This window comes from Homo sapiens, chromosome X (assembly GCF_000001405.40).
Source record: "Homo sapiens chromosome X, GRCh38.p14 Primary Assembly".
NCBI classification, from domain to species: Eukaryota; Metazoa; Chordata; class Mammalia; order Primates; family Hominidae; genus Homo; species Homo sapiens.
The window spans coordinates 94,488,245-94,513,456 of record NC_000023.11 but is presented as its reverse complement, the minus strand read 5'-3'; the positions used below and the strand labels follow the sequence as shown (position 1 = coordinate 94,513,456).

Genomic DNA, 25,212 nt, shown 5'->3' with positions numbered 1-25,212 from the left:
TTTAAAGTGCTAAAAGAAGAAAACTGTAAATCAAGAATTCTATATCTAGCAAAACAAGAAAACTGTAAATCAAGAATACTATATATAGCAAAACACTGGATAGACATCAAGGGTCTTTAAAAAATGAGGGAGAAATTAAAACATTCCCATATCAATAAAAGTTCAGAATATTCATTACCTCTAGAGCTTCCTTATTTAAAAAAATATATTAAATTAAGTTCTTCAAGTTGAAATGAAAGGACATTAGACAAACACACAGCCATAGGAAAACATAAATATCTGTAGGAAAAGCAAATACATAGACAAATATAAAAATATTATTGTGGCTGGGCGCGGTGGCTCATGCCTGTAATCCCAGCACTTTGGGAGGCCGAGGCGGGCGGATCACGAGGTCAGGAGATCGAGACCATCCTGGCTAACACGGTGAAACCCTGTCTCTACTAAAAATACAAAAAATTAGCCGGGCGTGGTGGCAGGTGCCTGTAGTCCCAGCTACTGGGGAGGCTGAAGCAGGAGAATGGCATGAACCCAGGAGGCAGAGCTTGCAGTGAGCCGAGATCGCACCACTGCACTCCAGCCTGGGTGAAAGAGTGAGGAGACTCTGTCTCAAACCAACAAACAACAGCAACAAATATATATATATATATATATATATATATATATATATATATATATATATATGCAAATTTTGTTGATAACTTTGCTTTTCCTTTACCACAGGATTTCTGACAAATGCAGAAAAGACAAATGAAGAAAATCAAAGACAAATGCAGAAAAAAAATCATTGTAAATGTATGCTAATGTGCACAAAATGTATAAAGATGTTATTTGTACATTAACATAAAGTGGGGGTGGTGAGCTGTAAAAAGTAGAGTTTTGTATACTCTTGAAGTTAGACCATATCAATTAAAAGTAGACGGTTTTAACTTTAAGATGTTATATACAATCCACATACTATCCACAAATAAAATACCTATAGAATATATTCAGAAGGAAATGAGAAGGGTATAAAAATTTGTCACTATGAAAAATTATGGAGCAAATTAGGAGAAACTATGGAGCAAATTAGGAGAAAAAACTGTACAGAAAACAAATAACAAAATGGCAAATGTAAGTCCATTTCTGAATTGTAGAAGATTTCCATCTGAAAGGCAGAGAAAATATTTACAGTTGCAAGTTTTCTAAAGTAAATTCCCTAAGGAAAGGTAAGTCAGGGGTTTACAGTCAGGTTTTGACTGGAACAAAGACTAAATTATTTTCGTATCATTGAGATTTCTCAGGCAGGCATTTTTAAGCGGCTAGAGTCATCCTAGTAACATAGTCATGATAGATTTGATCAACTCTCTTAATGTGTATGTGTGCAGAGGGGCTTGGATGGAGTCCTTGGTATCATGTTGTTATTTACTTTTTTTATATTAATGTTTGTTTGTGTGTATGTGTGTTTATTCAACTTTACTTTTAGAACAGCAGTAGGTTTGCTGCAGAATTGAGTGGAAGGTACAGAGATTTTCTATACAACCTCTGCCCTACACATGCATATCTTTCTGATTATCAACATTCCCCACCAGAAAGGTACATATGTTGAAATCAACGAACCAACATTGACAAGTCATTCTCCTCCAAAGTCCATAGTTTATTTTACAGTACACTCTTGGTGGTGTACATTACCTGGGTTTAGACAAATATGTAATGACGTGGATCCACTATTATAGCACCATAAACAGTAGCTCTACTGACCTAAATAATCCCCTGTCCTCTCCCTAGTCATCCCTCCTTTCTCAAACCCCTGACAATGACTGATTTTTTACTGCCTTTGTAGTTTTGCCTTTTCCAGAATGCCATATATTTGGAGTCATACACTATGTAGCCTTTTCAGTGTGGCTTATCTTAGTGATATCCTTTTAAGATTCCTTCATGTCTTCTCATGACTTGATAGATTATTTATATTCAGCAATGAATAATATTTTATTTTCTTCATGTACTACAGTCCATGTATCCATAATTCACCTACTAAAGGGCATCTTGGTTGCTTCTGAGTTTTGGCAATTATAAATAAAATTGCTGCTGAAAATATCCCGCAGTTTTTTGTACAGACATGTTCTCAACTTCTGTGAGTAAATAACAAGGAGTGTTATTGCTGGATAATATGGAAAGGATTTTTTTTTTTTTTGAGACAAAGTCTTGCTCTGTTGCTCAGGGTGGAGTGCAGCTGTGCAATCTGGGCTCACCGCAACCTCTGCCTTCTGGGTTCAAGCAATTCTCCTGCCTCAGCCTCCCTAGTGGCTGGGATTACAGGTGCATGCCACCATGTTAGGCTAATTTTTGTATTTTTAGTAGAGATGGGTTTTCGTCATTTTGGCCAGGCTGGTCTCGAACTCCTGACCTCAGGTGGTCTGCCCATCTTGGCCTCCCAAAGTGCTGGGATTACAGGCATGAGCCCCCATACCCAGCCAATTTGTTTAGTTTTGTAAGAAACCACCAAGCTGTCTTCCAAAGTGACTGTATCATTTTGCATTCCCACCAACAATGCATGAAAGTTTCTGTTGCTATACATCCTTATGAGCATTTGGTGTCAGTGTTCTTGATGTTGGTCATTCTAATGGGTGTGTGGTATTATTGCATTGTTGTTTTAATTTGCATTTTCTTGATACATATGAGATCGAGAATCTTTTTATATGCTTATTTTTATCTGTATATCTTCTTTGGTGACTTGTCTGTTAAGGTGGTTGTTCCATTTTTTAATTTGGTCTTTTGTTTTCCTATTCTTGAGTTTTAAAAGTTCTTCATCTGTATTGGATAACAGTCCTTTATCAGCTATGTCTCTTTTTTTGCAAATACTTCTCCCAGTCTGTGGCATGTCTTTTTATTCTATTGACAGTACCTTTAGCAGAGAGGAGCTCTTATTTTTACAAAAAAGTTGGAAGAATAGTACAAAGAACTGTCATGAGCTCTTTATCCAGATTCAGGATAGTTAAAAGTATTTTGTCCAATTCGCTTTATCGTTCTCTCTCTCTCACTTCCAGAATATTTAAGAGTAAGTGGCAATCCTCATGCCCCTTTACTCCTGAAAAACTCAGCATGTATTTATTAAGAAAAGGAAATAGGTAACCACAGTAAAATTATTTCACTCTGGGAATTTAATATTCATATAAAATCTAATCACAACCCATATTGTGTTTATTATATAATTAATATATTTTATTGATTATATAATTAATTTATTATTTATTATGAAATGAAAAAAATCATATAAGGCAAGAATGAGCCAGAAGTGATGTGTTCATTTCGGTGCATTTTACCAAAATGAATGTGAATATTGGTTTATATCAGTGTTGGTGATATTAACTTTGGTCACCTAGCTAAGCAGTCCTACAAGATTTCTCCATGGTAAAGATACTATGATTTTTATTGTAAGTAATAAGTAATATTTGGGAGATACTTAGAGACTATTTAAATATATTTTTCCACATGAATCCCTCCACCCACTAGTGTTAACATTTATTTATAATTTTCTAACTGTGTTATTCCTTCTGCATTTATTGGCTATCATTAAAAATAAGGAATAGCTTCTCATTGCACCTTCATATTTACGTATTTAGTCATTTATATCAGTTTGAACTAATAAATTATATAATATTCAGAAAATTATAACCCATTAATATAATTATTTATTTATTTTTCTATTTTTTAATTTTTTAAACTGTTTTTTTTTAAATTTTTTAAAATTTTTTTAGAGATTGGGTATCACTATGTTGACCAGGCTGGTCTCAAACTCCTGGCCTCAAGCATCTTCCCATCTTGGCCTTCCAAAGTGCTGAGATTACAGGCTTGAGCCATAATTCCCAGCCTACAATAATGAAATTTGATGTAATATCACCTTAGTTTCGACCAGTGGGGATTCATTCAAACTACTTTCCAGGTCTCTTTGACGTATTCCTGTCATTCTTCAAGTAGTCTCTAAATTTCTAGCACAACAAGTTTTTCCAGGACCATCATGTACTTTTTTGCTCCAGACCTGTAATTGGCTATTTCTCCAAGGAGCTCTGGAATCTTTTATTGGGTAATGGTATTCATAAATGAAAATCTGATTGCTAGCCTTGCTCATTCCTACTGGGGAATCATTGATTCTAGTTCTTCTCAGTAGAAAATTATACTAACATGTCCAATAAAAATCTGATATTACAGGATTAATGGATGCATTCTAGCTCAAATTGTCTTTTTTCACTATTTATTATTTTCAGCTCTAAAAGTGAGAATGCTGAATCTATACTGAATGTATTTACTTATTTGCTCAAGCCTAGCTTACACAGGAAGTAGTTTCAGAAACACTAACCCATAACATTGTTAAAAGAAAATTTAATAAAACATGTTCAATATTTGTTTGCAGTTATTATTTTGTGAAGAAAATCCCTATAGAAGAAAATACAAAGGTATTATTTGTACAATTCAATAAATTTTGATACATATGTGTACCTCTGTAAGTATCACCCTAATTAGGATATAGGATAGTTCCACTACACCCAGAATTCCTTTAGGTCTTCATCCAGTAAATTCCTACACCATGACAGGTGAAGAACATTCTGAATTTGTCACCTAACTATCCATGTTTGTTCTTGTACCTAAATTATTTTAGCTATATCTCTTTGGATTATTTTTATAATGATTGCTAGTGATTACAATCTATATTCTTGATTTATAATCAGACAAAGTCTTCTTAGAGCTAGTATTTTACCACTTTACAGAAAACATAAAAATTGAGAATAGCATGATTACATTTACCTGCAGATCTTTGCTGCTATTGCTGTCATATAGATCACATCTTTAGGTATCAGAAAATCTACTATACATATTTTGTTGTAAACAATTTGCTTAAAGAAATTAAAATTGAGAAAACATATATTTATATTTGCCTATGCACTTACTCTTTGTGTCACACTTCAGTCCTTTGTGTAGATATGATATTTAATCTGGTGATATAATGCTTCATTCTGAAGAAGTTTCTTTAACATTACTTTAAGTGAAAGTTGCATAGTAATAAATTCTTCATTTTAATTTATCTAAAAATGTATTTTTCCTTAATACTTTATGGATATTTTAACTAGTTATAGAATTAGGGATTGATCCTTTTTTATCTTCAGCATTTTAAAAGTACTGTTCCATTGTGGTGTTTGTGTGTGTGTACTTGATTATTTATAATGAGAAGGAAGCCATTATTTCTATCACTATTTCTCTCAAGGTGATGTTATGAACTCTGCCTGCTTTCAAGATTCACAATTCATTTTTCGTTTCACTAGTTTGAATATGATTTGCTGAGTTTATGGTTTGATTCCATGATGACTGAAATTAACTGAAATTCCTGGGTCTCTACATCAAAGTTTTGAACTAAATTTTGAAAAAATAAAAAAAAATTAAATTTTTTAACCCCTCTTTTCGGGGGAGTCCATTCCTTCTTTTTGATTAACTTCATTACTCGTGAAAGTGCAATCTTGTGTCTTTCAAGAAGAGTATATTCATGGGTTAGTTTTCTAGGGATTTATCATATTAGAATATGTTAGTTGTGTTTATACCTGAAAAAAAAAATCTACTTTTGCATAAAATTCTTGGTCACCTTTTTTTCCTTAATACTCTACAGAAAGGTAATTCTTAATCATTGAGGACATATGATGAAATAGGTATGATGAAATAGCATGCTGAAATAGGTAGGTAACTTTCAAACCCTAAGCCATAATTACCAGCTCTTGATGTAGGCAATGCTGCTGTTAATGGGAGTGAGTTCAGCACGTAAGTGATGAAAAGGTAGAAAAACATATGGCTGTTTTTTGTTGTTGTTGTTGTTGTTTTTGTCAAGTAAGGTTGTATTGAAGTGTGATGTCAATTCCCTTATATCCTATGTTTTTAGGTTATATAGTTTTCTCCTGTTATATTTTTAAAAACTTAAATTTTCCTTTGTAATCTGAACACATTTGCAGTTGCGTATAGGTGTGGGTCTCACCTTATTCAGTATGGAACCCATCAGTCTGCATACACATGAATTTTTTCAACTTTGGTAAAAATCTACAGCTATAGGGTTGAATATTTATTTGCAATTGTTTTGATTTGTTGTCCAGAGATAACTGTAATTCCTTTTAAAAATAATTTCAAGTTTTATTTCTAATTCAGGGTGTAAATGTGCAGGTTTGTTACCTGGGTATGTTGTGTGCCACTGAGGTGTGAGGTATGAATGACCCCAACACCCAAGTACTAAACATAGTACTAAGTAGGTAGTTTCTCAGACCTTAGCCTGTTCCCTCTCTTCCTGCTTTTATAGTCTCCTGTGTCTATAGTTTCCATATTTATGTGTATTTGTTCCCAGTGATAAGATATCACTTATAAGTGAGGACATGTGGTATGATTTTCTGTTCCTGTATTAATTCACTTAGGATAATGGCCTCCAGCTACATCCATGTTCATGCAAATGACATGATTTTGTTATTTTTAATGGTTTCATACTATTCAGGGGTGTGTATGTACCACATTTTTTATCCAATCCACCATTGATGGGCACTTGTGCTTTTACTCCATGTCTTTGCTATTGTGAATAGCACTGCAACGAACATGTGAGTATGTGTATCTTTTTGGTAGAATGATACTTTTCCTTTGGGTATATACCCAGTAATGACATTGCTGGGTTGAATGGGAGTTCTGCTTTGAGTTCTTTGTGAAATTTCACAACTTCTTTCCACAGTGGCTGAACTAATTTACATTCTCTTCAACAGTGCATAAGTGCTCCCTATTATCTACAGCCTTGCCAGTATCAGTTATTTTTTTTTTTTCACTTTTTAATAATAGTCATTCTGACTGCTGTGAGATGGTATCTCATTGTGGTTTTGACTTGCATTTCTCTGATAATTAGGGATGTTGAGCATTTTTCAAATCTTTGTTAGCTGCTTTTATGTCTTCTTTTGAAAGGTGGCAGTTCATATCCTTTGTCCTTTTTAATGGGGCTGTTTTTTGCATGTTAAATTGTTTAAGTTCATTATAGATTCTGAATAATAGATTTTTTCTGATGAGTATTTTGTGAATATTTTCTCCTCTTCTGTAGGTTGTATTTTTACTCTGTTGTTAGTTTATTTTGCTGTGCAGAAGCCCCTTAGTTTAATTAGATTCCACTTGTTCATTTTTGTTTTTGCTGCAATTGCTTTTGAGAAATTAGTCCTAAGTTATTTGCCAGGACCAGTGTACAAAATGGAAACTAGGAAACCAGGTTTTCTTCCAGGATCGTTATAGCTTGAGAACTTACATTTGAATCCTTCATCGATCTTGAGTTAATTTTTGTATGTGCTGAAATGCAGGGGTCTAGTGTTATTCTTCTGCATATGGCTAACCAGTTACCCAAGCCCCCTTTGTTGAATAGGGAGTCCTTTCCCCATTGCATATTTTTCTTAACTTTCTTGAAGATCAGATGGCTGTAGGTGTGCAACTTTACCTGGGTTCTCTCTTATGTTTCATTGGTTTATGTGTCTGTTTTTGTGCCAGTATCGTGCTAATTTTTTAAATTATAACCTTATAATATAGTGTGAAGTCAGATAATGTGATTGCAGCAATAACACATTCAGACCAGATCCACATCACCAAGCTGGTAACCCAGGAGGAACCATGGCTGCAGAAGCTTTCCTCCCACCCCAGACTTTTATCAGCTAGATGCCATTGCAGGGAGTGTTTGCCCACCTTCTACTTCCCAATATCTGGATTGCCCTTCATTGTTACATTGGATTCCCATTTTCCTTCTTGAATGAAATCTCAAAGAGTTGATAATTATGCACTATTTTGCTATTTCCAAGTGGCTGGGGCATGCCCAAAGCCTCTAATCCACCATTGTTTTATTAGGAATTCTGGGTTTTTTTTGTTTTCTCTCTTTCAGAAGTTTTTGTTTTTGTTTTTTCTTAGTCAGATGGTGCCATCACAGTTTCCGGAATGAAGCAATAGACAAATGAAAAGCCTTCCAATTTGAGCCAGGTGTCTGTTGTTTAAGCACTTGCTAGTTCTTGGTAGCTCATGCTAGTTTTCCTGTTTTCTCTGGAGGGAAGACCAGAAGGTGATGCTGGGAATCAGTCCCCAGTGCTCTCCTTATGTGGACTATTGTGAGGCACATACATACCCTCACTGCCTCTGCTCTTAGAGGGGCAGACTTCAAAACAAAAGGGATGAGTGTGGGGGACATGTGCGTGGGGGTTTCCATGGCCACTGGCTGATCCAACCTCACCACATCTCAACCTAACTAAACACACCCCTTCGGGGAACTTAGAACCGTCTCAGCTGATCACCACCTTGGAGGTTTCCTGGGGTGCAGCCTCAAGTTGGCACTGCTAACTGCTGCTGCCACCATCACTGCTGCAAAAGAATAAGGTGGGACTATAATTCTTAAGTTGAATACCCATTTTCTTGATCTGCATAGAAACTACTCACTCGTTTAATTTTTATTTTTTGGCAGCTTAAGGATGTTTATCTTACATTTATGACTTGCTTTTTCTTTTTCATGGAGGGCATGTTTTCCAATGTCTCATTGGTAATACCAGTCAGATTTCTTTTTAGTAGTTATACTTCTATGAATAATTTCAGGACGATGTGTTAAGCAAGACTTCAGAAGCAGGTTCATTTCCCTAGGCCCACCATATATTTCAAAGAATCCTTATAAGACTTTTTTGTTCCTGCTAAAGTATCCTGGAATCATAAGAGAGATGTATGCAGTGTTTTCCATGAGATAATATCATTTGAATTGGCCCAAGTAATGTCATATAATTTTAATAGAAGTGGAAAATCAGAATTCTTCATTCAATGAGTTTCATGATTGAGAAGGAACACTTTACAGGTTTTCATGGCACATTCTTTTTTCACAGATACAATGCTTAAATTCTTGACTGCTCAGTAAGAAACATGAGGAGCTACTGTGCTTACTCTTAGATACTGACTGTATTGGTATTTTTTTCCCAAAACAACAGATGAAGAAAGTTGATATGACTATATTATATTTCAATTTCTACTATGTTAAAATTATTTATCTATGACAACTGTTTAAACATTCTATAACACTCTAATCCTGGGGAGTTTCTGAAAATATCTTAAATTTTTAGCATAAACTCTAGATGGTCCATTGGTCAGTACCTACAAACCAACAGAGAATTCTTTTTTGTCTATGTACTTTTCTGCGCTTTCTAGTATGCAATATACTGCTACCATTATTCATTTGGCTTCAAGCTGCATTAGGAATAGAGGGAGAGATAGTTGTTAGTATGGTTTCAATGTATGTGTCTCTCCAAATTTCACATGTTGAAACCTAATCCTTAAGATGATGATTTTAAGAGGTGGGTCTTTGGAAGATAATTAGGTCATGAGGCTGGAGTCCTCATGAATGGGATTTGTGCCTTTACCAAAATGGCTTGAGGAAGCTTGCTAGCCCTTTTTTGCTCATCCACTATGTGAGGACAGAGCAAGAATGTGTCATCTGTGGGGAATGGGCCCTCACCAGACACCAAATTTTCTGGAGCCTTGATCTTGTACTTTCCAGCCTTCAGCACTGTGATAAATAAATTTCTGTTGTTTATAAATTACCCAGTATAACATGTTTTGTCATAGAAGTCTGAACTGACAAACGCAGTTGTATTTTCTTGAGAGTAAATAAAAAAACAGTTCTAAGGGTGAGCTGTGTTTCCGAGAATAATACTCTGAATATCCATCTGTCTGGCAAGACTGCTATTTATATTGCTCATTGTGAAATTTGTTTCAGCTCTTTTGCTCTTGTTATGAGTAAACATTCCTTTCCAACTCTACTACTAGGTAGTATATCAGCCTTGTTTAGGTTTTTGAAAAAGGAGCTAATGTTTTTTTATCTATTTTTGTGTCTCCTGAATATTATAAGAAAATTGAGAAAGTGGTGTAAGGATGCCATTTTAAAAACTCAGAAAATCATGATTGGATTATTGAAGAAAATACCACATATCTTAATTTTCCCCTTCTTTCTTTTACAATAACAGCATTTTTTCCTTGAATATTCACTAGAGAATTGATGAGCATTTTAATGTTTGTATTTTATAAAATGTGCCATAAAATTTTGTCATTTTTTTCATTTTTTGAAACTATTCATACATTTGTTATATTTTCTTCAAGTTAAATTGAGATTAATCCATAATATTTTAAAGGAAATACTATGCAGAAAATGAATTACAAGGGGAACAATAATTTGAGGAAAATTTCTTACTTTGACCTAAAAGTTTACTTCCCTGTTATGAAACTCTATCCTAAGAAAATAAATTTTCTACCACAAGCAATTGTAACAAAAGCCAAAACTGACAAAAATGGGGTCTAATTAAACTAAAGAGTTTCTGCTCAGCAAAAGAAACTATCATCAGAGTGAACAGACAACCTACAGAATGGGAGAACATTTTTGCAATTTATCCATCTGACAAAGGTGTAATATCCAGAATCTCCAAGGAACTTAAATTTACAAGAAAAAACAAACAACCCCATCAAAAAGTGGGCAAAGGACATGAACACTACTCAAAAGAAGACATTTATGTGGCCAAAAAACATATAAACAAAGCTCACCATCACTCAACATTAGAGAAATGCAAATCAAAACCACAATGAAATGCCATCTCACACCAGTTAGAATGGCGATCATTAAAAAGTCTGGAAACAACAGAGGCTGGCAAGGATATGGAGAAATAGGAACACTTTTACATTGTTGGTGGGAGTGTAAATTAGTTCAACCATTGTGGAAGACAGTGTGGTGATTCCTCAAGGATGTAGAGCTAAAAATACCATTTGACCTAGCAATCCCATTGCTGGGTATACATCCAAAGGATTATAAATCATTCTGCTATAAAGACACATGCACACATATGTTTATTGCAGCACTGTTTATAATAGCAAGGACTTGGAACCAACCAAAATGCCCATCAATGATAGAATGGATAAGAAAATGTGGCATATATAGACAATGGAATACTATGCAGCCATACAAAGGAAAGAGTTCGTGGTTTTTTTTGCAGGGACATGGATGAAGCTGGAAACCATCATCCTCAGCAAACTAACACAGGAACAGAAAACCAAACACTGCATGTTCTCACTCATAAGTGGGAGTTGAACAATGAGAATACATGGACACAAGGAGGGGAACATCACACACTGGGGCCTGTCAAGGGGTAGGGGGGAAAGTGGAGAGAGAGCATTAGGACAAATACTTAATGCACGTGGGGCTTAAAACCTAGATGACAGGTTGATATGTGCAGCAAACCACAATGGCACATGTATACCTACATAACAAACCTGCATGTTCAGCATGTGTATCCCAGAACTTAGAGTAAAATAAAAAAAAATGTAAATAAATGAAATTGTTTAAAAATGGAAAATAATAAATTTTCTTATCATTCAATCAAATTTTATTTAGCCCTTGATTCTGCAAACTATTCTAGGCACTATGGTGGAATCTAAGATAAGACATAATATTCTTTTTAGTTCAGGTCTATATAATCTTGTTGATACTTGCTTTAATGTGACCTTATTGAATATATTAGGTTAACTGAATTTGTGAGAGTAACCTAATCTACTTCAGGTAAATATTTATTATCAAATTTTTATTCATTAATTTTACAGTCCTTCACCCAGAAACCATTATGAGTAGTTACTGAATAATTCGGTGGGAATTCAAAAAGGAATACTGCATTTCTTCTGACCCGCCTAAGGTGTTCACATACTAATGAAGAAGACAGAAGCAAACACCAAAGATTATAGTAACTAATATTAACATGAACAAACACCTATGGGAGTAAAGAGAAGAAAGTGATTAATTTCTTCTTGTCTACTTTCTTGTCTACTCCTTGAGAGCAAAAACTATTTATTTCATGTTCAAAAAATATCACCCATAGACAAGTGCCTGTCTCATTGTAACCATTCAATAAATATTTGTTTAATACATAAATAAATACAATTTTAAAAGTAATTTGAAATGTTTCACAGAGAAAGTTATATTTGTATAAGTCTTAAAAGTAAGAAAGGATACTTCCAGGAGAAAAGTGGTAGAAAGAGCATTCCAGGCAGAAAGGATAACGTGAGCAAAATTATACAAAGATAAAAATGAATGGTGTGACTGAGGAGAAGTAATTATTCGGTTATAGCAAATAATGCCATATATACTTAAGGCTTTTTCTAAAAAAGGTTTTTTAGGCTCAGATGATGAGTGAAGATGTATGACAACCTAAGGAAATGGGACATTATTCTGTAGGTAATTAGAAATCACTGATGATTTTCAAGTTACAGGATGAGAACTTGTCTGAGTTCTTTGTACTAATGGAGAGGAAAACAGGAAAGAGTATGTCAAAAACCTCTGTATTTTTAAAGCATTGTAAAAATAAAGATTCAAAAATACTCTCAACACATTGTACAAAATTTTATTCAAAGATTAAGATGTGCTGCTTTCCATACAGGTAATTTTGTTCAAAAGTTGGCATCTAACCTCTTAGACAAGCTGAGTAGTAACCAAATGATGCCATGTGTTACTGTGCTTTTATTTTTAACCTCATGAACCTCTGATATTTTAATTCAATATCAGATTATTTCTTTGTAGGAGATGCTTTGGGGATATGGACAGGAATTGTATTTATGAACTGTAGTGGCCATTAGCCATTTCCAATTTAGTGGAATCAGAACTTGTTTTTATAATCACACAAATGCTCTGGGTTTAAAAACTACTTCTTTAGGAGTATGTGAGGACTTACAGCCAATAATGTTTGTCATTAGCTTACCATAAAAATATCCAGGGTTTATGACTTGATGCCTTCTATTTTTGCTGCAATCCTAGTGACTAATATGTACATTTATGAGCTGTATTTTATCATTTGAAAGACCTTGAAATATTTTTTTTATCAGTAGGAAGTTGGATATTTTCCATGAGCATAAGAAAAAGCTCTAAATAATATATTCAGAAAGCTTTAAAATAATCAGTAGACGGTTTTAAAACAAAAACTAAAGATACAGGAGTGAGGATGATTCTAATGACCCATTAATGCTCCTGCCTCCACTGCAGTCATTATAGCACAAAAAAAATCAGCTTTAAATTCTTTCTGTAGCTGAGGATGTACATGTAGTTTCAAGCTGCCCTTTCATGACAGCTGCTTTGCAATATAGATATATATATTTCAGAATAATGTATTTTAAAAAGCATGCTATTGTAACATTTCTATGTATACTTCCCAACTGTCCTTCACATCTGTTGTTGTCCAAAGGTGGTGTATGTCTCCTCAGTATAATAATTTTCAGGTCCATAGTCATGCAAAGTTAAATATGTACACTTGAAAGATAAGCTGTATAGGTAAACCAAAATATGATTTTGTTGACTTTAAGAATTATTTTAATTGGTTTACGAATTTATATTCACTTATGTAATCTTTAAGTGCTTTAAGATACTACATATGTGATACCAAAAAAAAAAAATCATTAGTCAAGGCCAAAGTAATTGTTAGCAGTATTTAATGCATGCAAGACATCGTATTTTGGTCACTGATATAATCATTTATGAGTAACCTATTACAATTTGCACAGAAGTGACCTTTTCCTTGTAAGTAAAGGGCACATTTTACAGCTTTCTGAACATGTCTTATCTACTTAAGAAGTTTGAGAAAATATAAGATGTGGTGACATTTAATTTTATTCTAGTTCATTGCCATTAACTTCCTGATGCTGACTTTTAGATAGTCATATATGGTCCTTTGTTAAGACAAAAAATAAAAACTCCCTATATCACTGAAACTTGTTAAAGTATGAAGAAAATAAGAAAAAGATTGAAGAGTTTAATAAATGCTTGTGATTATTAATACTGAGTGTCAACTTGATTGGACTGAAGGATACAAAGTATTGATTCTGGGTGTGTCTGTGAGGGTGTGGCCAAAAGAGATTAACATTTGAGTCAGTGGGCTCCACATACTTAAATTCACATAAATAGTAGAAAGATTACAAAATAGAAAATGCTTCTGTTTCTGAGCTTTTTTCCAATGTTGCAATTTAATCCAGAATACAATTCCATTCCCAACTATGCCACACTTTTTAATATACTCAGTGTCTGGCCTTGAATCCTGTGGATCAATTCAGCTATGAATTTAACAAAATATGGAAGCTGTCTACGAGCATATGTTCAACCATGCATTTGCTATCCTCCTCTCCACAGTGTGTAATGGATTTGGACATAAAATTTAAGGTATTTCACAGGCTGCTTGCTATGTATGGAAAATCAGAGTTCAGAATGAGGTTTTCATTCTAGTTAATTTAATGTTTGAAGTGTGTGTGTCAGCTATATGAGAGATGGGTAGTTATACTGTGTGTGCAATAAAAGAATCAAATCTTCCATACTCCTCCTCTATGCTTAGCCTTCCTTGAATGTGTTCATTAAACTGATAAATGATTTCCAACAAAGAACATTAGAAATAGTTCAGACATTGGAGAATAAAAAGAGAATGAGAAAAACTGAAATTGAAGTTAGAATATAATAGAGAATATTCTATTACAAACCTCGGTCTTAGTAATTGTTATTTTGATACTGCAATTATTTTCCACTGTTGGCTATGATTATATTTCAAATGTTAAATTTTTAAAAATCAGACCCTTGTACTAATTACAAATGTGAATGCAAAATATCTGAGACATGTCTGTCAATTTAGAAAGTTTATGTTGCCAAGGTTAAGGATGTGCCTGCCTGTGACAAAGCCTCAGGAATCCCTGAGACATGTGCCCAAGGTGGTCAGGGGTACAGTTGGTTTTCATACATTTTAGGGAGATATGAAACATCAATCAATATGTGTAAGAGGTACGTTAAGTGGTCTGGTAAGGTGGGACAACTCCAAGCAGGAGCTTCTGGGTTAGAAGTAGATAAGGGAAAAAGGTTGAATTCTTTTGAGTCCTTGATCAGTCTTCCATTGAATACAGAATTCAGTCTGGCTCACTGAATGTGCACTTTTACATAAATAATAGGAAAGAGGGAGTGTGGGGGTCCGTCCCACAGACCCTAACCCAACGATGGATGAATAATGTACACTGACACAGATATTATGCTTGTCAGTCTGGCTGAGGGTCTGGGCCGCTTACAGACTCCCAGGAGAGTGTTGTAAAGAGTTGCAACCGTGGCTCCAACTTGCTGGCCTTTCCAGCATTTATTCAGCCCACATTAAATGACAAAAGTCTCAATAAACACCACTAGAAGGTAATTACCATTGCCAACCCCTGAATAGAGAGCAATCATGCACCCGTGGATGGTCAAAAGTCAGTCTTAGGACCACATGAGCAAACAAGCTATTTAGATAGACTCCTCTACATTCCTATGTTAGTTACCCTTGTTATAGCTCAAAGAGGATTAGGCTGCCTTCAGCCATTAACTCTATCCTGAAGCTTTTGCAAAAACCTTCTGGCCCTCCAAGAAGGTTTATTTTACAAAATTTCCCACCATCCTGACTGAATCCCTAACTCTTCCCCTTTTCTGTTTTCTGCATCAGGTCTTATTGATTGGAGAGCACAGATGTATGCAGCAGCAGGTTTGTCAGGCGTGGTGGTCATTGCTCTTATTCTGGCTTTGCATCCTAGAATTAGTAAATAAAATAAGACAATCATAAGTATAATTAGCAACATTCTTTTCCAATCAAAGAGTGACCCCAGGAGTGGGGGTCTAACCCGGAGAGGTGATCTTGCACATCCTTCCATATGGCCGTTTGTTGGGTGTGTAGATCTATAGTGTGAAGGAATTCTAAAATTTTAGTTTTAAGTTGCTTTATGTCTGCTGTTAAATTATCATGAAAGGTTCCCCAGAAGTGTTGTTTCACCTCATCCCAACTAGGTATTGATTGATTCCATCATAGAGAAGTGACACAGATATGTTTATGCTCCCAGTCGCAGTTTAATTGCTGTTGGAATGCCAGGGCATCTTGTTGCTCCCCCACATATTCCGAAGCAGCCTCGAGGGCTTGCAGACGTGCAAGAATTTTTTGATCTATACCCTGCTGTAAGAGAAGTTAATTAGACCCATTTTGGCCAGAGTATGTACAAAGGCAGCTGTTTGTACTGACTCAGTAACAGATGCCACAGCAATACTAACAGTCGCCAGGATGACTATGGCTGAGGCTATAAAGACTATAGACTATAAAGACTATAAAGGCTGTAAGTGTAACTATGAATCTTTTGTGTCTGACCTGGTATAGAGCATGTTCTAAGGTGGCAAGGGCAGAGGAACCTTGCTAATCATGTGTCAAATTGGTAGGAATGCCTCAGATTGTCTCCTTAATACCATGACACTAGTAACATTTAGATCAGATATATTGTAATTAGTGATATATAACACAAACCAAGCCTGTCCCTGCACCTGGGTCACAAACGCGGAGTTTTGGGGTGTAATGGAAATATTGGTTCCCATAAGGAAACATATGGATGGGTAGTACAAATTAGGCATAATCATAATCAAATTCATAATCAGTGTGATTATGAATAAAGGTTATAGTATAGTTGTTACTGGAATTATGATATGTCCCATGCCAGGTGTCAATGGAGGTGCCAAGATGTCCCAGGAGCCATAAAATATCTTGGGGTGGCATGGATTTTACTTGGGGTCTGGGATATCCCATCCCCTCATTGGCCCAAATCATAGGGGAACAGGACGTGGCTACAAAACTGTGATTGATGCCATGATGGATGAGGACATTAGTAAGGCTGCCCTGCAAATGGCCGTGGGGGCTTCAGTCTAAAATGTTATAATTGCCTAACTGGAGGCTACAGGCTTGTCCCCCATGACAGACCTCCTAGCTAAAGTGAAATCAATTACTTTCCCGGCTTTGTCCTTTAACACAGGAAAGAATGTTTGGGAAAGCAGCATTTATTGCATTACCTGGTTTTAGGCTACCTGCAGCTAAGGCTGTTAAGGCATTTCCTTTGCCATGATGTAGCCATAATAAGAGTTGGGTCACTGAGGAAAACTGAAAACACCTGCAGGTCCAACTGGGATAGGAGTAGATTAATGTACAAAAAGTAGATGCCTAGCCGGGCATGGTGGCTCACGCCCGTAATCCCAGCACTTTGGGAAGCTGAGGTGGGTGGATCACCTGACGTCGGGAGATCGAGACCAGCCTGACCAACGTGGAGAAACCCCGTCTCTACTAAAAATACAAAATTAGCCAGGTGTGGTGGCACAAGCCTGTAATCCCAGCTATTCTGGAGGCTGAGGCAGGAGAATTGCTTGAACCTGGGAGGCGGAGGTTGCAGTGAGCCGAGATCGTGCCATTGCACTCCAGCCTGGGCAACAAGAGTGAAACTCCATCTTTAAAAAAAAAAAAAAAAAAAGGGCCAGGTGCGGTGGCTCACGCCTGTAATCTCAGCACTTTGGGAGGCTGAAGCAGGTGGATCACGAGGTCAGGAGATGGAGACCATCCTGGCTAACACGGTGAAACCTCGTCTCTACTAAAAATACAAAAAAATTAGCCGGGCGTGGTGGCGGGCTCCTGTAGTCCCAGCTACTCACTCGGGAGGCAGAGGCAGGAGAATGGCATGAACCTGCGAGGCAGAGCTTGCAGTGAGCTGAGATCGCGCCACTGCACTAGGGTTAGAGCCTTTATAACTTACACACAGTGGGAGGATAGTGGTGATATGTAGTGTTATCTGGTACCTTAGTCCAATGTGTGCCATTATTGAGGGACCCACTGGGGGTAAATCTATCCCTCCTAGCCAAGCAGTCACATTATTATAGGCTGGGAAGGCGGTGTCTGCCCAGGTGACAGGGCAAAAGAAAGGCAGATCTAATGAGCCCAATAGAGTGTAGCAGGTGCAGGTGGCAGACAAAGCGAGAGCATAAAAAGGATCAATACCCTACGTGAGTTGCAATGTACAACAGAAAGCATAGCAAGGAGCAAATTACCTGGAGTAAATGGTGTCTGTGTCTGAAGCAGAATTTGTTCAGCCTCCTGAGTTGTCCTCTTCGGCATCCCCCAGGTAACATCCGGGGCTTGTGTCGTCCGTGGAAGCTGCATCGTCCAGGGCTGCGGGTCCGGTAGGGTTGGTTCCTTCATCTCTGCTATCAGGTTGGGTCCTAGCCACACCATGGTATGGTTTGATGTGTCGTGCTGGAATCCACAGGGGACCTGAGGGGGTGTGAACACAAGCATACCCTCTTCCCTATGTTAATAATTCACTTGGACCACACCATACGTTACTGTTCACATCTTTCCATAAAACTGAAGGTTTTATGCTTTGAGTGGTTTTAGCAAAGCGCTTTTCTACAGCTGATTGAAATTTGTCATCTAAATTTAGAAAATTAAGGGTAAATAAGGCTTGTGCCAATAGTGTTGCAGGGTCTTTACCCATACTCTCCCTTTTCTGTTTTTTGAGCATATTTTTAAGTGTGGAGTGGGCACATTCTTCTATGGCCTGTCCTTAGGGGTTATGTGGGATGTCTGTGGAATGTTGTATATTCCACATGTGACAAAATTGTTGAAATTGTGAGCTGGCATAAGCTGGACCATTATCAGTTTTAATTTTTGTGGGCCGTCCCATAAACGCAAAAGTTAGAAGATGTTTAATGACATACCGGGTTGATTATCCAGGCAAAGCATGGGCACTAATTAAGTGAGAATTGGTATCAATGGATACATGTACATATCTAAGTTTTCCAAATTCAGGGATGTGTGTAACATCTGTTTGCCATAATTGATTAGGTTCTAGTCCTCTAGGATTAACACCTGTGGAAGGAGGGGACTTGCCTGTGAGCTGGCAATCTGGGCATTGTAGAATAATTTGTTTACCCAGCCTCTGGGTAAGTTGAAACTGTTTAGATAAGTTTCTCCAATTTTGGTGGAAAAATTGATGCAATTGTGTGGCTTGGTCAAGCAGTGATGTGATAATCTGAAGGTCTACTTGATTATCGCCATAAAATAATGGGCAAGGCAGAGAGCTGTGGGCTCGAATGTGTGTGATAAAAATAGGATGTGTACATTGATCTAGCAATTGCTGAAGTCAAAGAAAAAGAGCACACAGGGTGGGCTCGAGAGTGGACTTAATTAAGGCTGTTTCAAGGTTCTGCAATAAATAAACAGAGTAAGCTGAGTCACTCACAATATTTATGGGCTGAGTGGAAAAAGTTTCCAAGGCCAATATCAGAGCCCCAGTCTCAGCTCTTGGAGTGCTAGCAAACCCAGATTGAGTGATTGAATTATGTGGTCCCTACCAGACTGCTGCTTTTCCATATTTACCAGAACCATCAGTAAACAGTGTTAAAGCATTAGGTATGGGGGAGTGAACTATTTTTGTGAACAAGATTACCAGAGTATGAGATAAGAAATTAAGGATTTTATCAGCAGGGAGGACATGTTTTATTTGTCCTGTGTAATCAGAGAAAGCTATTTGCAGATCGATAGATACTGGCAATACTGCTTCGAATTGTGTTTTACTTAAAGGAATCCTGATGACATCAGGGTCATAACCTAGTAACTGATTGCATCATTTGTGGCCTGAATAGATGACTTTAGTAAGTAACCAAATATAGGGAGATAGTGTTTTAGTCCCGGTATGTGAGCAAAAAACCCATTCTAGGAAGTGTAGCCCGGGGGCCATCTGTCCTATTAATCCTGTATGGGAGTCTTTAGTGGGAAAAATAAACAATTGAATTGAATACCATCGATCAACGTGATCTAGCTGCCTCTGAGAGACGGTTTGCTCTATTACCTTGGTTTCCCTTTTTGCTGGAGGGGTTAAATATCTGGGAGAATCCACAGCTGGATTGCCCTTTAAGATAGAAAACAGGTTTTGCAGCTTATCGGTAGATATGCCTAAGGTGGGGCGGAGCCAAGTAATATCGCCTAGTAATTTCTGATAATCATTTAAGGTGTGTAAGTTGCTAGTATTTAATTTAACCTTTTGAGGTCTTACTGACCAGGAAGTTAGTATGTACCCAAGATATCTCCAAGGAGAAGACATCTGTACTTTCTCAGGTGCAATGATTAAACCTCTTAGCTGTGTATTCTTTACAACAGAGGTGTATAAATTTAAAAGCATTGGCTCCATTGGGGCTGCTAGTACAATATGATCCATAAAATGAATAATCTTGCAATCAGAAAACTCTTTTCTACTAGAGAGCAAAGCTTGATTTACATGATACTGACACATGGTAGGACTGTTTAGCATTCCTTCAGGAAGCACTTTCCAATGAAATTGACAAGCTGGCTTGTCATTATTGATAGCTGGTATTGTAAATGCAAATTTTTCTCTGTCCTGTTCTGCTAGGGGAATCGTATAAAAGCAGTCTTTTAAGTCAATAATGATTATAGGCCAATCTTGAAGAATTGCCGCAGTTGTGGGCTTTCTGTAATTTCTCTCCTTTCAGAGGTTACTGTTTTACTTAAATTGGATTTGGAGAGAGTTGCATTAGGGGTAGGAGAGACATAACAGCTGTGGCCATTATCAGAAAGAGGTATTTTAAATTCTTAAATTTTACTTAAATCTTAGCAGAGAATTATAATCTGGGATGTCACTTGTATACAAGGAACACATGAAATTTTGCCGTGGGCCGCCTGCAAAGCTGGAGAGCTGAGCAGGTGGACCCCGGGGCGGTGGCCACGTTGCTCTTGCAAACGAGCCACTTTTTGTCTGCGCTGCTTTTCACCTGTGCCGCTTCTCACTTGTGTGTTCCCCTCCCTCCCCCCACCATGCAGGCTGAGTTCCCGGGAGCTTTTGCTGGCTTTGAGTTTGTGAGCTTCCCTGCTGCCAAGCCTTTCTTTCTATCTACTGCTCACTTGGCCCCACAGCTCCATTCTCTAATGCCTTTTCTTAACTCTTTATGTACCTGATTGGCTCATTGATTTTGCATTACCAGGCAGGCTAAGAGCTCCCCTTCTAATGCCGCTTGCTTAAGACAGGGTTGCATAGCTGTAATGTATCTCTCGCCTTTTTTTCTATTTATTGGAGGAGGAGGCACAGGCAAGACCTCCATTTCCTCTTTGTTATTTTGGCCCTGTGATATTGGGGCTGAGGGACAAGGAGGCGGTAAAGTAGGTGACTATTCCTCCTCCTTCCTCTTTTTAGGCTCTTCTGTGTATAATGGGACCAAAGCCATCCTTACTAGACCCCATAGTGTTAAAGATGATACTGGGACCCATTGCCATTGCACATCATGTTGTTTAAGATTTCTCCCTACTTGTTCCCAGAGCTCTACATCTAGCGTTCCTTCCTTTGGGAACCATGGATTATGATTTACAACAGTTTGCATTAAGTCCCTTAATTGAGCCTGCAAAACCGAGGCTCCACTAGCCTTAAGCAGCTGTTTCAATACTTTTATATACTGATTCTGTTGCGCTGATAACTGTTGTCCCATGATGAAACCTTAGCCTGAACAATCCCCCACCAAACTTGGAAATCCCTAGTGGACACCAATGACTTACTGATTACTCACTGACCGCATGGTCCTTTTCACTTCCGTTTTTGGGGGGTCCATTGTGCTTCTTTCACAACGTTCCTCACACATGCACCAGCTGCGGGGGTGAGTCCCACAGACCCTGACCCAAGGATGAATGAATAACGTACACTGACACAGATATTATGCTTTTCAGTCTGGCTAAGAGTCCAGGCTGCTTACAGACTCCCAGGAGAGTGCTGTAAGAGTTGCAACCTTGGACCCAACTCACTGGCCTTTCCAGCATTTATTCAGCACACATTAAATGACAAAAGTCTCAAGTAAACACCACTTGAAGGTAATTACCATTGCTGCCCCCCCACCCCGAGTAGAGAGCATCTACATTCCTATGTTAACTACCCTTGCTAAGACTGGTTCAACATATGAAAATCAATAAACATAATCCATCACATAAACAGAACCAAAGACAAAAACCACATGATTATCTCAATAGATGTAGAAAAGACCTTTGACAAAATTCAACAGCCCTTCATGCTAAAAACTCTCAATAAACTAGGAATTGATGGGACATATCTCAAAATAATAAGAGCTATTTATGACAAACCGACAGCCAATATCATACTGAATGGGCAAAAACTAGAAGCATTCCCTTTGAAAACTGGTACAAGTCAAGGAAGCCCTCTCTCACCACTCCTATTCAACATAGTGTTGGAAGTTCTGGCCATGGCAATAAGACAGGAGAAAGAAATAAAGGATATTCAGTTAGGAAAAGAGGAAGTCAAATTGTCCCTGTTTGCAGATGACACAATTGTATATTTAGAAAACTCCATCATCTCAGCCCAAAATCTCCTTAAGCTGATAAGCAACTTCATCAAAGTCTCAGGATACAAAATCAATGTGCAAAAATCACAAGCATTCCTATATACCAATAACAGACAAACAGAGAGCCAAATCATGAGTGAACTCCCATTCACCATTGTTTCAAAGAGAATAAAATACCTAGGAATCCAACTTACAAGGGATGCGAAGGACCTCTTCAAAGAGAACTACAAACCACTGCTCAATGAAATAAAAAAGGACACAAACAAATGGAAGAACATTTGATTCTCATGGATAGGAAGAATCAATATCATGAAAATGGCCATACTGCCCAAGGTAATTTATAGATTCAATGCCATCCCCATCAAGCTACTAATGACTTTCTTCACAGAATTGGAAAAAACTACTTTAAAGTTCATGTGGAACCAGAAAAGAACACAAATTTCCAAGACAATCCTAAGCCAAAAGAACAAAGCTGGAGACATCATGCTACCTGACTTCAAACTATACTAAAAGGCTACAGTAACCAAAAGCATAAAAAGTTTAAAATGCTTGATATCATGGTACTGGTACCAAAACAGAGATATAGACACACACCGGGGCCTGTTGGGGGGTGGGTGGAAGGGGGAGGTATAGCATTAGGAGATATACCTAATGTAAATGATGAGTTAATCGGTGCAGCACACCAACATTGCACATGTATACATGTGTAACAAACCTGCATGTTGTGCACATGTACCCCAGAACTTAAAGTATATACATAAAAAAAAATTACCCTTGCTATAGCTCGAAGAGGATTAGGCTGCCTTCAGCCATAACTCTATCCTGAGGCTTTTGCAAAAACCTTCTGGCCTTCCAAGATGGTTTATTTTACAATTTTTCCCACCATCCTGACTGAACCCCTACAAAGGATCAATCAAATATGCATTTGTCTCAGGTGAGCCTCAGATGGATGACTTTGAATAGAATGGGAGGCAGGTTTGCCCTAAGCAGTTTCCAGCTCATCTTTTCCCTTTAGCTTAGTAATTTTGGGGTCCCAAGATTTATTTTCCTTTCACATTTCCCCTGTTTTCTTAATAAAATCTTTCAGAAGAAGCATTTTTGAAAAAACAATGAGTCTCTGGTCTCAGGTTTTGTCTTATCTCTCATGGTTGGAATAGTTTATTAATAGACAGGTAGGTCTCACATTACGAGGAAAGCTCATTTTTAGCAGGTTGTGAAGTCTCATTTCCTACAAAGGGCAAATGGGGGGAAGAAGGGAGAAAAACAACAACAAACAAAAAAGAACAATCTTGGAAAATCAATATAGGCCATATTACTCTGAAGTTCATATATCATTAGGCGTGTATGAGATTGGCTTATGTATGTAAATAGGTTGCTGTTATTTCCTTCTAAAGTTTAAGTTGTGTAGCTTTATTTTGCAGGGCTTTAAGAAAGCACAGCTTAGTTTACAGTTATTTCAAATTAGGAAAAATGGGGAAAAAGTGGGAAAAGAAAGAAGAAAACAATTTGGAGACATGACTTTGGAGAAGTGTAGCCAGGAAACATTTTAGAATTCAGTTCAAACTGCTGAAAATAATAAAAATTGAAAAACATTAGGCAAGAGTAGAATATAATAGGTGTAATAGTTTGTTTTGAAATATAATTTCTCTCTCTTCAGTCTCCTATTCTTATTAAAAAATATTAATAGCACCAATTTATTTGTAAAAGAACAAGCTCTATTCTTATGCTTGGCATTATTATCTGTATAAAGTGAAGCAAGGATAATTATTTTTCACATAGGCTTTTAAATCCGCTTTTATGGAACTCTTTCAAATAAGACTTCTTTTTTCAGCTGAGCCCAGCCATGGGTTTGTACCCTCAAATACCTACGAGGTGAGCAAATTCCTCTCCTCTTGAGGTCCCAAGATAACTTGGGGCTGCTGGACTTGTGAGAAAGTGACATTCTTTAGTTATCACAGGTCAGAAATCCTATACAGGAACTCTGCAGACAAGGCATCAGGCTGGTTTTTCCAGTGGGCTTTTATTGGATCTTCAAGTCAAGCTTGATTCCTTAAAGGAAAGCACATTCCAGTAAAAACCTTGGTAAAACAAGCAGTTTCTCCAATTGTGTCCTGTTGCAAAAGGAAACTTTCTTATTGCACTTATGCAAATAACTATATTTCCATAAGTTAAAAATACTCACAAAGTTTCCAAATTCTAGAGAAATTAGGTAGAAAGAAATACGCTCCAAATTTTGTTCACAGAAATATATTTAACTCCATTGTTTAAATCTGTAAATAGCTTAAAAGACAAGTTTCTTGACTCCAAAAAAAAAAAAGGATCAGCAACGTTTTAAGCAAAAAGTCAAAAAGATTACTTCAGTCTTCTATTAATTCAGTTCATGAAGTTAACTCTTTTTTGATATTCATGAACATTTCAGCTCTCTATGAGTTCTGAAGGTGTTTTCCTTCATTTAATGTCACAATGTCCAAAGTTATTAGAAAACTGCTTTCAAGAGCACCTAACAAAGTCCTACACATTGATTAGAAATCACCTTTTGAAGAGTATCAAAACAAGACAACAATAGTCTGTGGATGTCAAATCTTAGGATAGCCATTATTAAAATCACAATTGACTAGAAATTCATGACTTCTGTGGCATACAAAAATTTCACATAACAATTATAATTATTAATAACATACAATAAGTCATATTAAAATTATGAGTTTCCCAAAATTTTGGGACATATAACTGTAACATTTATATAAATATAGCCCAAAGAAAACCAAACATTATTTTATATTTGACAATGCTTCCTATGTGATTTTTACAAATAAGCTGAATATGTCTCATTTGGACTTTAAGGAACTAATATCAGGAAATAATGAAAATTAATATCAGAAAATTAATGAGGACCTAAGTTAGAATTTGAGTTTGGAAAGTTTGCCAAACATAAAAAGTTTAAAATGCTTGATATCACAAAATATGATCACAGATCATTATAAAAT

The 25,212-nt window shown here is 36.8% G+C and overlaps 3 annotated features.

The window, feature by feature from the left end:
* Window positions 14,988–15,501: an enhancer, noted in NCBI's record as "NANOG hESC enhancer chrX:93752955-93753468 (GRCh37/hg19 assembly coordinates)". NCBI's record gives its function as "activates a minimal SCP1, AML or CMV promoter by ChIP-STARR-seq in naive H9 embryonic stem cells {active_cell/tissue: H9 hESC(naive)}" and the evidence as "EXISTENCE:reporter gene assay evidence [ECO:0000049][PMID:30033119]".
* Window positions 20,108–20,607: an enhancer, noted in NCBI's record as "OCT4-NANOG-H3K4me1 hESC enhancer chrX:93747849-93748348 (GRCh37/hg19 assembly coordinates)". NCBI's record gives its function as "activates a minimal SCP1, AML or CMV promoter by ChIP-STARR-seq in primed H9 embryonic stem cells {active_cell/tissue: H9 hESC(primed)}" and the evidence as "EXISTENCE:reporter gene assay evidence [ECO:0000049][PMID:30033119]".
* Window positions 20,608–21,109: an enhancer, noted in NCBI's record as "OCT4-NANOG-H3K4me1 hESC enhancer chrX:93747347-93747848 (GRCh37/hg19 assembly coordinates)". NCBI's record gives its function as "activates a minimal SCP1, AML or CMV promoter by ChIP-STARR-seq in naive and primed H9 embryonic stem cells {active_cell/tissue: H9 hESC(naive and primed)}" and the evidence as "EXISTENCE:reporter gene assay evidence [ECO:0000049][PMID:30033119]".